The 12,157-nt window shown below is 43.8% G+C and overlaps 1 protein-coding gene across 2 annotated transcripts in view; it reads right to left on the bottom strand.

Moving 5' to 3' along the window:
- VPS13D (vacuolar protein sorting 13 homolog D) overlaps positions 1-12,157 on the bottom strand; it is a 282,018-nt gene that overhangs the window by 268,692 nt on the left and 1,169 nt on the right. For both annotated transcript variants that reach the window (NM_015378.4, NM_018156.4), the window contains exons 2-3: positions 8,993-9,165; positions 766-843 (exon numbers count right to left, since the gene is read on the bottom strand). In NM_015378.4, the coding sequence (NP_056193.2) occupies positions 766-843; positions 8,993-9,089 (175 nt within the window). In that variant the 5' untranslated portion in view covers positions 9,090-9,165. The remainder of the gene's footprint in view (positions 1-765; positions 844-8,992; positions 9,166-12,157) is intronic.

Below are 12,157 nucleotides of genomic sequence, written 5' to 3'. Positions count from 1 at the left end.
AAGTTCAAAGCTGTAGTGAGCTATGATAGCATCCCTGTACTCCAGCCTGGGTGACAAAGCAAGACCCTGTCATAAATAAATAAATACATAAATAAAAAGGAGGCCAGGCATGGTGGCTCACGCCCGTAATCCCAGCACTTTGGGAGGCCGAGACAGGCAGATCACCTGAGGTCAGGAGTTCAAGACCAGCCTGGCCAACAAGGCGAAACCTCGTCTCTACTAAAAATACAAAAAAATTAGCCGGGCATGGTGGTGCACACCTGTAGTCCCAGCTACTCTAGAGGCTGAGGCAGAAGAATTGCTTCAACCCGAGAGGCAGAGGTTGCAGTGAGCCGAGATCGCACCACGGCACTCCAGCCTCGGTGACAGAGCGAGACTCCATCTGAAAAAAAAAAAAGAAAAGAAAAGAAAAAGAAAAAGGGAAAGGGGAAAGAAAAGGAAACCTTGAATGTAGAACAGAGGTTCTCACACTTGAGTAAACATAAGAATCACCTGGAGTGCTTATTAAACACTGTAGGTTCAATGACATTCCCTCAGAGATTCTGATTCAGTCGGTCCGGGTATCACCTGACCTCCCCACCACCATCACAAGGTCATCCTGATACGAGTGGCCCAAAGACCACACTTTAAGACTGGCCTAAACTCTAACATTTGCTATATCCTTCCTCTAACTGGCCAAATCAATACAAACTCCAGGGCTCTCAGTTTTCACCTCTCAAACAATTTAAGACTCAAATTTCTTCCCCCTCCTTTAGTTCCACATACCAGCTTTGACTTCAAATGGTAATTCCAATTCTTTCAAGGCATCTTTCTTTAATGGCAAGTTTTCTAATTCAACAGCACCTAAAAATAAAAACAGCATCATGAAATATCCATTTAACAAATACAGTAGGCCACCTACTGTGTGTAAAGCATTGAAGGTTAAAGGGAAAGTTTTACATATAGAATAGGCTACGTCATGTGAAGGTTAAAGGAAAGTTTTACATCTAGAACGGGCTACATCATGTGTAGGTTAAAGTTTTACACCTAGAACAGGCTATATCATGTGTAGGTTAAAGGGAAAGTTTTACATCTAGAACAGGCTTATCATGTGTAGTGCTACCACCAGCCCATACGCTTCATCTAAACGAATTTCCAGGCCGTCCGCTCTAACACGTACATGAGAGCTGAAGCTTAGGCGCTGATGAAGAGTTCAGACCAAGAGTTACATTTTCCATAACAGGACAGATAGTAAATATTTTAGGATTTATATGATGTCTGTTGCGTATTCTCCTTTTTTTTTTTATCAACCTTTAAAAATGCAAAAACCATTCTTAGTCTGCAGGCCAGATGTGGCCGGCGGGTCTCTTTGCTGACCCCTTGCTTAGGCTAATATTTACCAGAGGAACATCAAAATCTGACTCACCTAGGATGAAATGCAGGCTCCTGGGCCCCACCCGCAGACCAACTACCTCTGAATCTCTGGGATTGAAGCACAGAAATTTGCAGTTTCTAACAAGTTCCTTCCACCCCCAACCCCTCCCCAAAATGAGTATAGTGCAAACAGTATTCAAAAGTCTATGATCCAATTAAATGAAACTGGTCTTCAAAAGGAATTATACTCTTCTCTTCTGGGGAACTCCTTAGCACCTCTACTTACAAGTGTAATAACCGATCAGAAAGCAAAAGAAGGAACAGGACCGCCGCTGAAAATTGTTTTCAGACCCAACTTTTATGACTTAAACCCGAAAGTGAACTGACAAGAGGGCAGCTAGATCCATCACTCTCCCGGCTATGCAAGCCATTCACCCTCACATATATAGAGCCCTGCTCTGTGGGAGGCACTGTGATGGCCACTGAAAATGTAAAAAGAGAAGGCAGAGTCCCCATCCTTAAATCACTGCCATTGTTTTTACAAAATTGTTTGCGAGACACAAGGCAATTTTTGAGCAACCTAAATCTGTCTGAGATATACATTTTCAAGAACACGGAGTACAGACAACAACCATTAATTAGTAAGAAATGCAAGAGAGCCTTTTACTCCAAGTACAAAATAATGCAAAAAACATGATTATGTTTCCCTTTAAATGATTGTTCAGGACTTGTGGGTTACTGGCTTCTAAAGAAGAATTCAGGCCAGGTGCGGCAGCTCACCCCTGTAATCCCAGCACTTTGGGAGGCTGAGGCTGGGAAATCGCTTGAGCCCAGGAGTTCAAGACCAGCCTGGGCAATACGGCAAGACCCCAACTCTACAATAAATTTTTAAAAATTAGCCAGGCATGGTAGCACACATCTGTAGTCCCAGCTACTGGGGAGGCTGAGGCAGGAGGATCGCTTGAGCCCAGGAGGTCAAGGCTGCAGTGAGCTATACTCACACAACTGCACTCCCAGCCTTGGTGACAAAGCTAGACCCCATCTCTAAAAAGAAAAAGGGAAAAAAAAAGAAGAAAAAGAATTCAAATCTAGCAACTTGGCGGATCTGAACAAATACAATCAATTTATTTGTTGATTTTTGCAGGAACATTTGTCCACATGGGCCATGCCCCACCCCCCACCCCGCCCCACCACCATACCTTACGACTAACAGAAAGAAAAAGTTTGTAACCCCAGCGAAACAACCCCATTTCCACATTTGGGGAGAAAATGAACATAAGGGGAAAAAAAAATCATGAAACATTTTCCTTGGTTGAAACAGACTTAATGGGGGCAATTAAATAGTTTCTTCTTTTGAAGAGCATGATTTATGCTTCGAACTGCCTTTTTTTTTTTTTTTTTTTTTTTGAGATGGAATCTCGCTTTTGTCGCCCAGGCTGGAGGGCAATGGCGCGATCTCGGCTCACTGCAAACTCCGCCTCCTGGGTTCAAGCGATTCTCCAGTCTCAGCCTCCCGAGTAGCTGGGACTATAGGTGCCCGCCACCACACCCAGCTAATTTTTGTATTTTTAGTAGAGACAGGGTTTCACCATATTGATCAGGCTGGTCTTGAACTCCTGACCTCAAGTGATCCACCCACCTTGGCCTCCCAAAGTGCTAGAATTACAGGCGTGAGCCACCGCACCCAGCCCGAACCACCTTATTTTTCAATACCCAAATCTGTCACAAAGGCAGGTGAGCTCTGGGCTTCCCTGGCAGCTGTACAACCTTGGGAAAGTAAAGGGAATTGCAGGCAACTCGCACCACGAAAAATTAAAGCTGAAGCATAAGAGGGCAAAGGAGGAGATCTAGAAAGGAGAGAGAGAATGTAAAGGAAAAAATGAGAAGAAACAACAGCCTACACCAAGCCAAAAGCAAATGAATCTGGCAAAACAGCATGGCCGTAGTTTAAGACTGAAGGTTTCCTAGTCCCCACCCACTCAAATATGCACCCACTGGCCCTGCAGGGAAAGGTCCCTCCAAAGAGCCAAGCAGAAAAACACCCAAAGTACTGAGTGCTTTATAAATGATAATGCAGGTCACTCACTCCAGACAGACCCCAATGTACTGAGTGCTTTATAAATGATAATGCGGGTCACTCACTCCAGGCAGACATTACAGACTTACTCACGGATGTCTCATCCAAAAACTCCTCATCTCAGGCTAGCAAGAAATCTACTCACTAAACTGGGAGTAATTTAGAGGTAGGTCATTTCTCAGTAATTTCTAATGGCTACTGAACTCTCTTCCCGCTGCTCCAGGTTATTTAAAGAGTCAACCTAAGGTTCGGAGCTTATAAAAACAAAAAGGAGGGGAAATGGATGTTTTGGGTTACAAATATACGATAGGCCCCCAGGCTGAAGTTCAGATTCCTTGACATGGCACTGGCAGCCTCTACCTTCTGGCCCCAAACCATTTCAAAAACACCCTGCAAGTTTTCAGCCTCTGCTCACAGGGTGCATTCCACCTCGAATGTGGGGACCTGCCCAGTGCCACCTATGGAAATCCTGCTAAAATCCACTTAAGGCTGGGCGCAGTGGCTCACGCCTATAATCCCAGAACTTTGGGAGGCCAAGGCAGGAGGATTGCTTGAGCCCAAGAATTCAAGACCAGCCTTGGCAACATGGTAAAACCCCATCTCTACAAAAAATAAAACAAATAGCCGGACCTATGGTGGTACATGCCTGGAGTCCCAGCTACTCAGGAGGCTGAGATGGAAAGATTACTTGAGCCCAGAGAGGTTGAGGGTGCAGTGAACCTTGATGGTGCCATTGCACTCCTGGGGCAATAGAGCAAGACCCTGTCTCCAAAAAAAGAAAAAAGAAAAAAAGATCCACTCAAAAGCTACCTCCATAACCTTCCCAGAGTCCTACAGGCAAAATGGACAGCTCTCTTCCTTCACACCCCATCGCATGATGCCTGTATTTCCAGAATAATCATTTAATCTATACTGCCTTGTATTACCGTATAATTTGTCTCCCAAACAGGTTAACAGTCCTCTGAGATCAGGGACTATAGAGGTGGAATAACAAGACGGGCATGGTGGCTCATGCCCATAATCCCAGCACTTTAGGAGGCCAAGCAGGAGCATCATTTGAGCCCAGAGTTTCAGACCAGCCTAGGCAACATAGTGAAACCCTGTATCTACAAAAAATAAAAAATCACCCAGGTATGGTAGCATGCACCTGTAGTCCCAGCTACCCTGGAGGCTGAGGCAGGAGGATCGCTTCAGGATCGCCAAAAGTTCGAGGCTGCAGGGAGCTATGATCCTACTACTGCACTCTAGCCTGGGTGACAGAGTGAGACTTCCTCTCAAAAAAAAAAAAAAAAAGAATAGCAGCTACCATTTAGTGTGGTCCTACTGTGTCCAAGCACTTCATACACATTATCTCATTTAATCCTCACAACAATACAAATAAATAATATTAGTTTCTCAATTTTTGAGGTGGAGGAAAAAAAAAGGCTTAGAGAACAAGCAATTTGCTTTAAAATTTTTTTGTAATTTTATTATTATTACTATTTTTTAGAGATAGGGTCTCACTCTGTTGCCAAGGCTGCAGTGCAGTGGCACAATCACAGCTCACTGCAGCCTCAAACTCTTGGGACCAAGGGATCTTCCTGCCTCAGCCTCCTCAGTAGCCAGGACTACAGGCATGTGCCACCATGCCTGTATGTATACATATATATGTATGTATTTTGGGGGATTACAAGTATATATATATATTTTTTGGGGGGGATTTTTTGGGGATTATTTTATATATATATATTTTGGGGGGGAGATATATATACATATATTTCTTTTTTTTTTTTTTGAGACAGGGTCCCACTGTCACCCAGGTTGGAGTACAGTGGTGACATCGCAGCTCACTGCAGCCTCCACAGCACACTGCAAGTGATGCTCATGCCTCAGCCTCCCAAGCAGCTGGGACTACAGGCACACGCCACCACCCCCGCTAACTTTTATATTTTTAGTACAGACGGGGTTTCATCATGTTGCCCAGGCTGGTCTCGAACTCCTGGCTTCAAGTGATATGCCCGCCTTGGCCTCCCAAAGTGCTGGAATTACAGGCGTAAGCCACCATGCCCAGCCTCAATAAATGTTTTTAAATGACTGAACAATGAACTTTTTTTGTTTTTGAAACAGGGTCTTGCTCTGTTGCCCAGGCTACAGTGCAGTGACAAGAACATAGCTCAATGCAGCCTCGACCTCCTGGGCTCAAGCGATCCTCCCACCTGGGCCTCCCAAGTAGCTGGAACCACAGGCGTGCACCACAACACCCAGCTAATTTTATTTATTTATTTTTTTTTTTAGAGAAGGGATCTCACCATGTTGCCCAGGCTAGTCTTGAACTTCTGGCCTCAGGTGATCCTCTGGCCTTGGCCTCCCGAAGTGCTAGGATTACAGGCGTGAGGCACCACACCCGACCTCAATAAATGTTTTTGAATGACTGAACAAGTGAAAATTTTTGGGGGAAAAGCATCTTGCTCTGTTGCCCAGGCCAGAGTGCAGTGGAGGGAACACAACTCAATGCAACCTCAACCTCTCCAGCTCAAGTGATCCTCCCACCTCAGCCTCCCAAGTAGCTGGGACCACAGGCATGCGCCACCATACCCAGCTAATTTTTTTTTTTTTTTTTGTAGAAAAGGGATCTCACCATATTGCCCAGGCTAGTCTTGAACTCCTGGCTTCAGGTGATCCTCCCATGTTACTTTGTATTTTTTTTATTTGTCTTTAAATGCTATCTCCATTCTTAAACACTCATGTTACTTTGCATTTTGTTACTTTTCATATGTGGATGCAATCTACATATATATACACACACACATATATATACACACACAGATATATATATATACACACATACACACATATATATATACATACACAGATATATATATACACACACACACAATCTCTTTGAAGTCCACTCCATCAGCCAATCCAATCATACACTGATGATCATGAGGATGGATGATAACTAACATTGACTGAGAGCCTACAATATGCCAAGAACAGCTCTAAGCTCTCTGACCCACATTAATTTCTTAGTCCTCAGAACCTTACGAGATAGTTAATATTATCTCCAATTTACAAAAAGGGAGAGTGAAGCATGAAGAAACTGATAACCTACCCAGGTTACTGGTAAATGGAAGAACTGGGATTCAAACACATAGTTTAGCTAAAAAAATCAATACCCTTGACCACTATTTCAGTCCTCTTTGCATCTCCCAAAGCATCTAGAACAGTAAATATCAGTAGATGGATTGAAATGACATTCTCGGCCGGGTGCAGTGGAACATGCCTGTAATCCCAGCACTTTGGGAGGCCCAGGTGGGAGGATCACTTGAACTCAGGAGTTCAAGAGCTGCCTGAGCAACATGGCAAAACCCCATCTCTACCAAAAAAATATAAAAATTAGCCGGGCGTGGTGGTGCATGCCTGTGGTCCCAGCTGCTTGGGAGGCTGAGGCAGGAGGACTGCTTGAGCACAGAAGGTCAAGGTGGCATTGAGGTGAAATCACGCCACTGCACTCCAGCCTGGGTGACAGAAAGAAACCCTGTCTCAAAAAAAAAGAAAGAACATTCTCATTCCTATCTAGTACCCTCTCTATTCCCAAACACTGCTTAACTGTGTCAGAGACGAACAAGCAGCACCAACTTCTTTACGAAGCCATTCCCTCAGTACAATTCCATGCCCCCAAGATTGTTCTGGCCACGCTCTGTGATGTGCTTTGGATCCATAAGCATTGGGTACCATACTAACACCAGTTACAAAAGAAAAAGCATTGTTCTACCCTGCGGAGAAGCATTCTTCAAGTTCCACAGGTTCATTAAAAGCCATAAAGAATAATGTTTTTAGAAAGGAAATAAGGGCAGAAAAGCAGTTTAAAGTACCAGATAAACACAGTTGTTACAAGATACATTCTAAAACTGCTGAGAAATGTTAGTACGACTCTGTAACACATCAGATATCCATTTCTATTTACTCATTTCTTTGGCAAATGCTCTTGCCACATGATTCCTGACAGAACCAGCTCTTTGATTAGCAGGGTCGTGGTCTGCAGCTCTCTTTCTAGGCCCTGTTATCTATACGTCATACAACGTAGTTAGCTTCACAGTGGGTCTGAGAACTTCAATAAGAGACCAGAGAGGTGAACTTGACACTACTATTGCACTTTGAATGCATCCTCTTCCCTGACAGACTGCTCACTCGCACTTTCCACTTAGCTCCCGTTTCAGGACAAGAGGAAAACCAGGAGAATAGGAAAGGAAAGGAAGAGAGTGGGGAGGCGTGACCATGACGGCTCTGCCCATGGCCTAGCGCTGCCACAATCATTTGGTCAGAAAAACATGAAAAGCAACACTTTTTTTTTATTTTTTATTTTTTGCGATGGAGTTTCACTCTTGTTGCCCAGGCTGGAGTGCAGTGGTGTGACCTCGGCTCACTGCAACCTCCGCCTTCTGGTTTCAAGCGATTCTCCTGCCTCAGCCTCCCGAGTAGTGGGATTACAGGCACCCGCCACCACACCCAGCTAATTTTTGTATTTTTAGTAGAGACAGGTTTCACCATGTTGGCCAGGCTGGTCTCAAACTCCTGACCTCGTGATCCGCCTGCCTTAGCTTCCCAAAGTACTGGGATTACAGGCATGAGCCACCGCGCCTGGCCGGAAAGCAACACATTTAATGGAACATGTGAACCACCGGTACTCTATTCTCAGACTACGCAAACAGCTGTGTCACTGTTCTCTCTAACCTGCTCTGGTCCACTTACCAAAACTCACATCCACAAAGGTGAGGTTTCACTGTATTTGAAGTCTCCTTCCCATTTCCTATGATTTTACACACGTGGCAAACTGACTTTCTTCTCTTCCCTACGTATGTTAAAAAGCTCCATTTTGAGCTGAGCAAAGAGAATTTAAATTAAAACAAGGAAAGGGAGAAAATGCAGTTTTCGAATTCCCATGCCAAATCAGGGACTGCATTTACCAAGTCTAGGCCTGTAAAGGGTAAAATGTCTGAAGCTTCAGGTACTCTACTACTAAGCAAGTCAAAACCTCAGAAATTCTGTTGAACACCTCACAATAATCAATTTTAAAACTTTTATTGAGTGCTTACTATATGCCAGCAGGCTAGGGGCTTTAAATGTTATTCCAGTTGATCCTTAAAGCAACCCTCTGGAGGTATATTATCTCTGTCTAAGAAACTGAGGCTTGGAATTTCAATATGAGCTATTGTTCACATAGCTAATAAGTGACAAAACAGTATTTGAAGCCAAAGTCAATGCCACTGTCGGTACATTGTGGCTGCCTCCATAAAGCTTCATAAAGCTAAAAGTTAACTGGGACTAAGCACAGTCACCAGTAGTGTAGCTTATTTTGTTTTTGTTTTTTAATATTTAATAGTTCCTTAAAATCTACAACAATATAGCTATAAACTTAAGTTACTCTGGAAAAATCATCAGGATGATATGGGACCTTTTTACATACATTTAGTACAAAGCCATCTGGGCATTAGGTTTTATGATTCTCAGGACAACAAAAAAAATACAAAAATAGAAACGCCACCTATAAAGCTGTATCTCACCCAGAGAAATACTCACCTTTGAGAAGTGCAACTGAGAGCTGGTCAGTGTTCAGGTTATTGACATATTTTCCCAAATAGGTATTGAGAACCCAGGCTACAAGGCCTTCCAACATGACTATATCCTCAGGAAAAGGTGTTTAGAAATCATGGATCATTCTTTATTTCTCTCTTTCATGGTCACAGAAAAATCTATGAAAGGAAAATAATGAAAATCAACATAAAAACAGGATGATTTTCTAAGCCAATTTCCTCCTCTACCTGCCTGAAGGTAGATGAATGCAAAGCACAGATGTTTTGTTGGGTTTTGTTTGTTTGTGTTTTTGTTTTTGTTTTGAGACAGTTTCGCTCTCGTCACCCAGGCTGGGGTGCAGTGGCACAATCTCGGCTCACTGCAATCTCTGCCTCCCGGGTTCAAGCGATTCTCCTGCCTCAGCCTCCCAAGTAGCTGGGATGACAGCTGCCCACCACCACACCCAGCTGATTTTTTGTATTTTTAGTAGAGATGGGGTTTCACCATGTTGACCAGCCTGTCCCAAACTCCTGACCTCAGGTGATCCACCCGCCTCAGCCACCCAAAGTGCTGGGATTACAGGCATGAGCCACTGCGCCCGGCTGCAGATGTTTTAAAAGATGAGGCAAGAAGCTCTGTAAGATGTCCCCATCAGTAACTGGAGGGCCAAACCAAAACACCTACATTCTGATGCTGCTTCAGGGAATAGTCACTCTTAAATTTACCAAAAATTACCTACAATTCAAAGCTGTCTATCTTTTCAGTGTAACTGTCCATTGCTTGCTTATGTTGATTTACCTTGGGATTAGACTGCCGTGATCAGAGGTTCTCCTATGGGCATAATTTAGTAATCTCTGGAGGCATTTTTTATCATGACTTAGGGGCTGCTACTGGCATCTTGTGAATAAAGACCACGGAAGCTGCTAAACCTACAACACACAAGACAGCTCCCACAGCAAAGAATTATCCAACCCAAATGTCAACAGAGCCAATGTTAAGAAACCTTATCCTAGATTAAGACAGAAAATGCCGTAAGAGATTGTCTGAATGAAATTCATGAAAGAGGCCGGGGGTGGTGGCTCACGCCTGGAGTCCCAGCACTTTGGGAGGCCGAGGCAGGTGGATCACCTGAGGTCAGGAGTCCAAACCCAGCCTGGCCAACATGGTGAAACCCTGTCTCTACCAAAAATACAAAACTTAGCCAGGCATGGTGGCAGGCACCTGTAATCCCAGCTACTCGGGAGGCTGAGGCAGGAGAATCCCTTGAACCCGGGAGGCAGAGGTTGCAGTGAGCCAAGATCACACCACCGCACTCCAGCCTGGGTGACAGAGTGAGACTCCATCTCAAAAAAAAAAAGAAAAAGAAACTCATGAAACAAACCTGAATAAAGTTGGGGGTGGGGGGAGAATTCACATTCTTTAATGATCCTCATTTAGGCCGCCCAAATTAAATGTCTCAAATTTGTTCATGAGGATCACTTATAAAATAATATACATGGGAGAGAGGCGACAGTGCTTTATCACTGTTCTTAAATGTCCTGGAACTGCATTACTGGTACCTGGGCACCAGATGACGCTGATACAATGAACAATCTTAGTCGATTATTACAAACCCCAAACTCCAGAAATCCTCTGGCTCCAGCCACGGTATTTAGATTTTGTAGGTACTACTGCCTGTTATAATAACTGGTGTTTACCAGTATTACCAAAAAAAAAAAAAAAAAAAAAAAAAGACTAATTTTAGTATTACAAAAAGTCAACATGAGGGAAACTGAGACACAAAAGTTTAACTGGGTTCTGAGATTGCTCAACTAGAAGATCCCAGTGGAAACTGTGAGCCTCAAATCTTGTTCTGATCCACCATGTCAGTCATCAGCCACCCTGCCAGGCACTACAGACTTGCCATGGCACGCATCCCACTGGAGCCAGCCTACTTTCAGGATCCTCTCCAAGCACGCTGCCCCACCTCTAGTGATTCATCTTAGTGCCAGAAGATACACCTATCCCAACTGAGAGGCTGCCATCCAACAACTACCTGAAGCACAAGGCCTCCACAAGAATGAATTCAATCTCCTGGAAAAACTGGCTTTTGTTTGTCAACAATATCTTGTACTTCCAGAGAAGATTAACTTTTATTGGTCAACAGTGACAGCAAAAAGAAAAAAACAGCATTTGGTAAAATATTTGACCAATTTCTTTCCAAAGATTTTTTTTTCTGCAAATGGAATATAAAGATATTTTTTAAGGGTAGAGTTACATAAAACTAATTATTAGCTACATTTGTTTAAAGAAGATGTTATAAGAACAATTTTTTAAAAAAAATGCTCAACAGTCTGAATAAAAGAAACATTTCTCTATTGTAACTTTTTTTTCTGGAGACAGAGTGTTGCTCCCTCGCCCAGGCTGGAGTGCAGTGACGGGATCTCGGATCTCGGCTCACTGCAACCGCCATCTCCTGGGTTCAAGCGATTCTCCTACCTCTGCCTCCTGAGTAGCTGGGATTACAGGCACCTGCCACCATCCCCGGCTAAGTTTTGTATTTTTGGTAGAGACAGGGTTTCATCATGTTGGCCAGGCTGGTCTGAAATCCTGACCTTAAGCGATCTGCCCACTTTGGCCTCCCAAAGTGCTGGGATTACAGGCGTGAGCCACCGTGCCCGGCCACTATTATAACTTGAAAGGAGTAAATTTGTGAAAACCAAATGTGAAACTGACTAATCTTACTATGGGGACTCCAAACAAATTTGAGCAAGAAGCCAAGGTCAGAGTACTCTTTATTTTTGTAGTTATTGCCACTAATTTCGGCCCTAAATGCCAACTCTGAGTGCCAATTACCAATTATCTCCAAATCAAGGGAAACAACTGTCAGTTTGTAAACAAGTTCAGGCCCTACCCTACTTGCCCTAAACGGAAAAGAATGCAAAGCACAGATTTTAAAAGCATGAGTGATTAGCATTGTGAGGCAACCTGGTCAGTAACATTGAGGCCCAAACCAGAAAGCACCCATTATTTGCTCTGCTAAGCATCTAGACCGTGCTTGAGGCCACTTCAAGGATTCCCTGAAGGAATTCAGTGTCAGCAAGGGCCGCCAGACTGGCCAGAGTCCCAAAGTGTTTACACTCCGGTCCATCAGGACTTCTAGGCAGCTGCCTGGCACTGGCACTAACCCCC

The sequence above is a fragment of the Homo sapiens genome, chromosome 1 (assembly GCF_000001405.40).
Source record: "Homo sapiens chromosome 1, GRCh38.p14 Primary Assembly".
NCBI lineage: Eukaryota > Metazoa > Chordata > Mammalia > Primates > Hominidae > Homo > Homo sapiens.
This window is presented reverse-complemented; position numbering and strand designations above follow the sequence as displayed.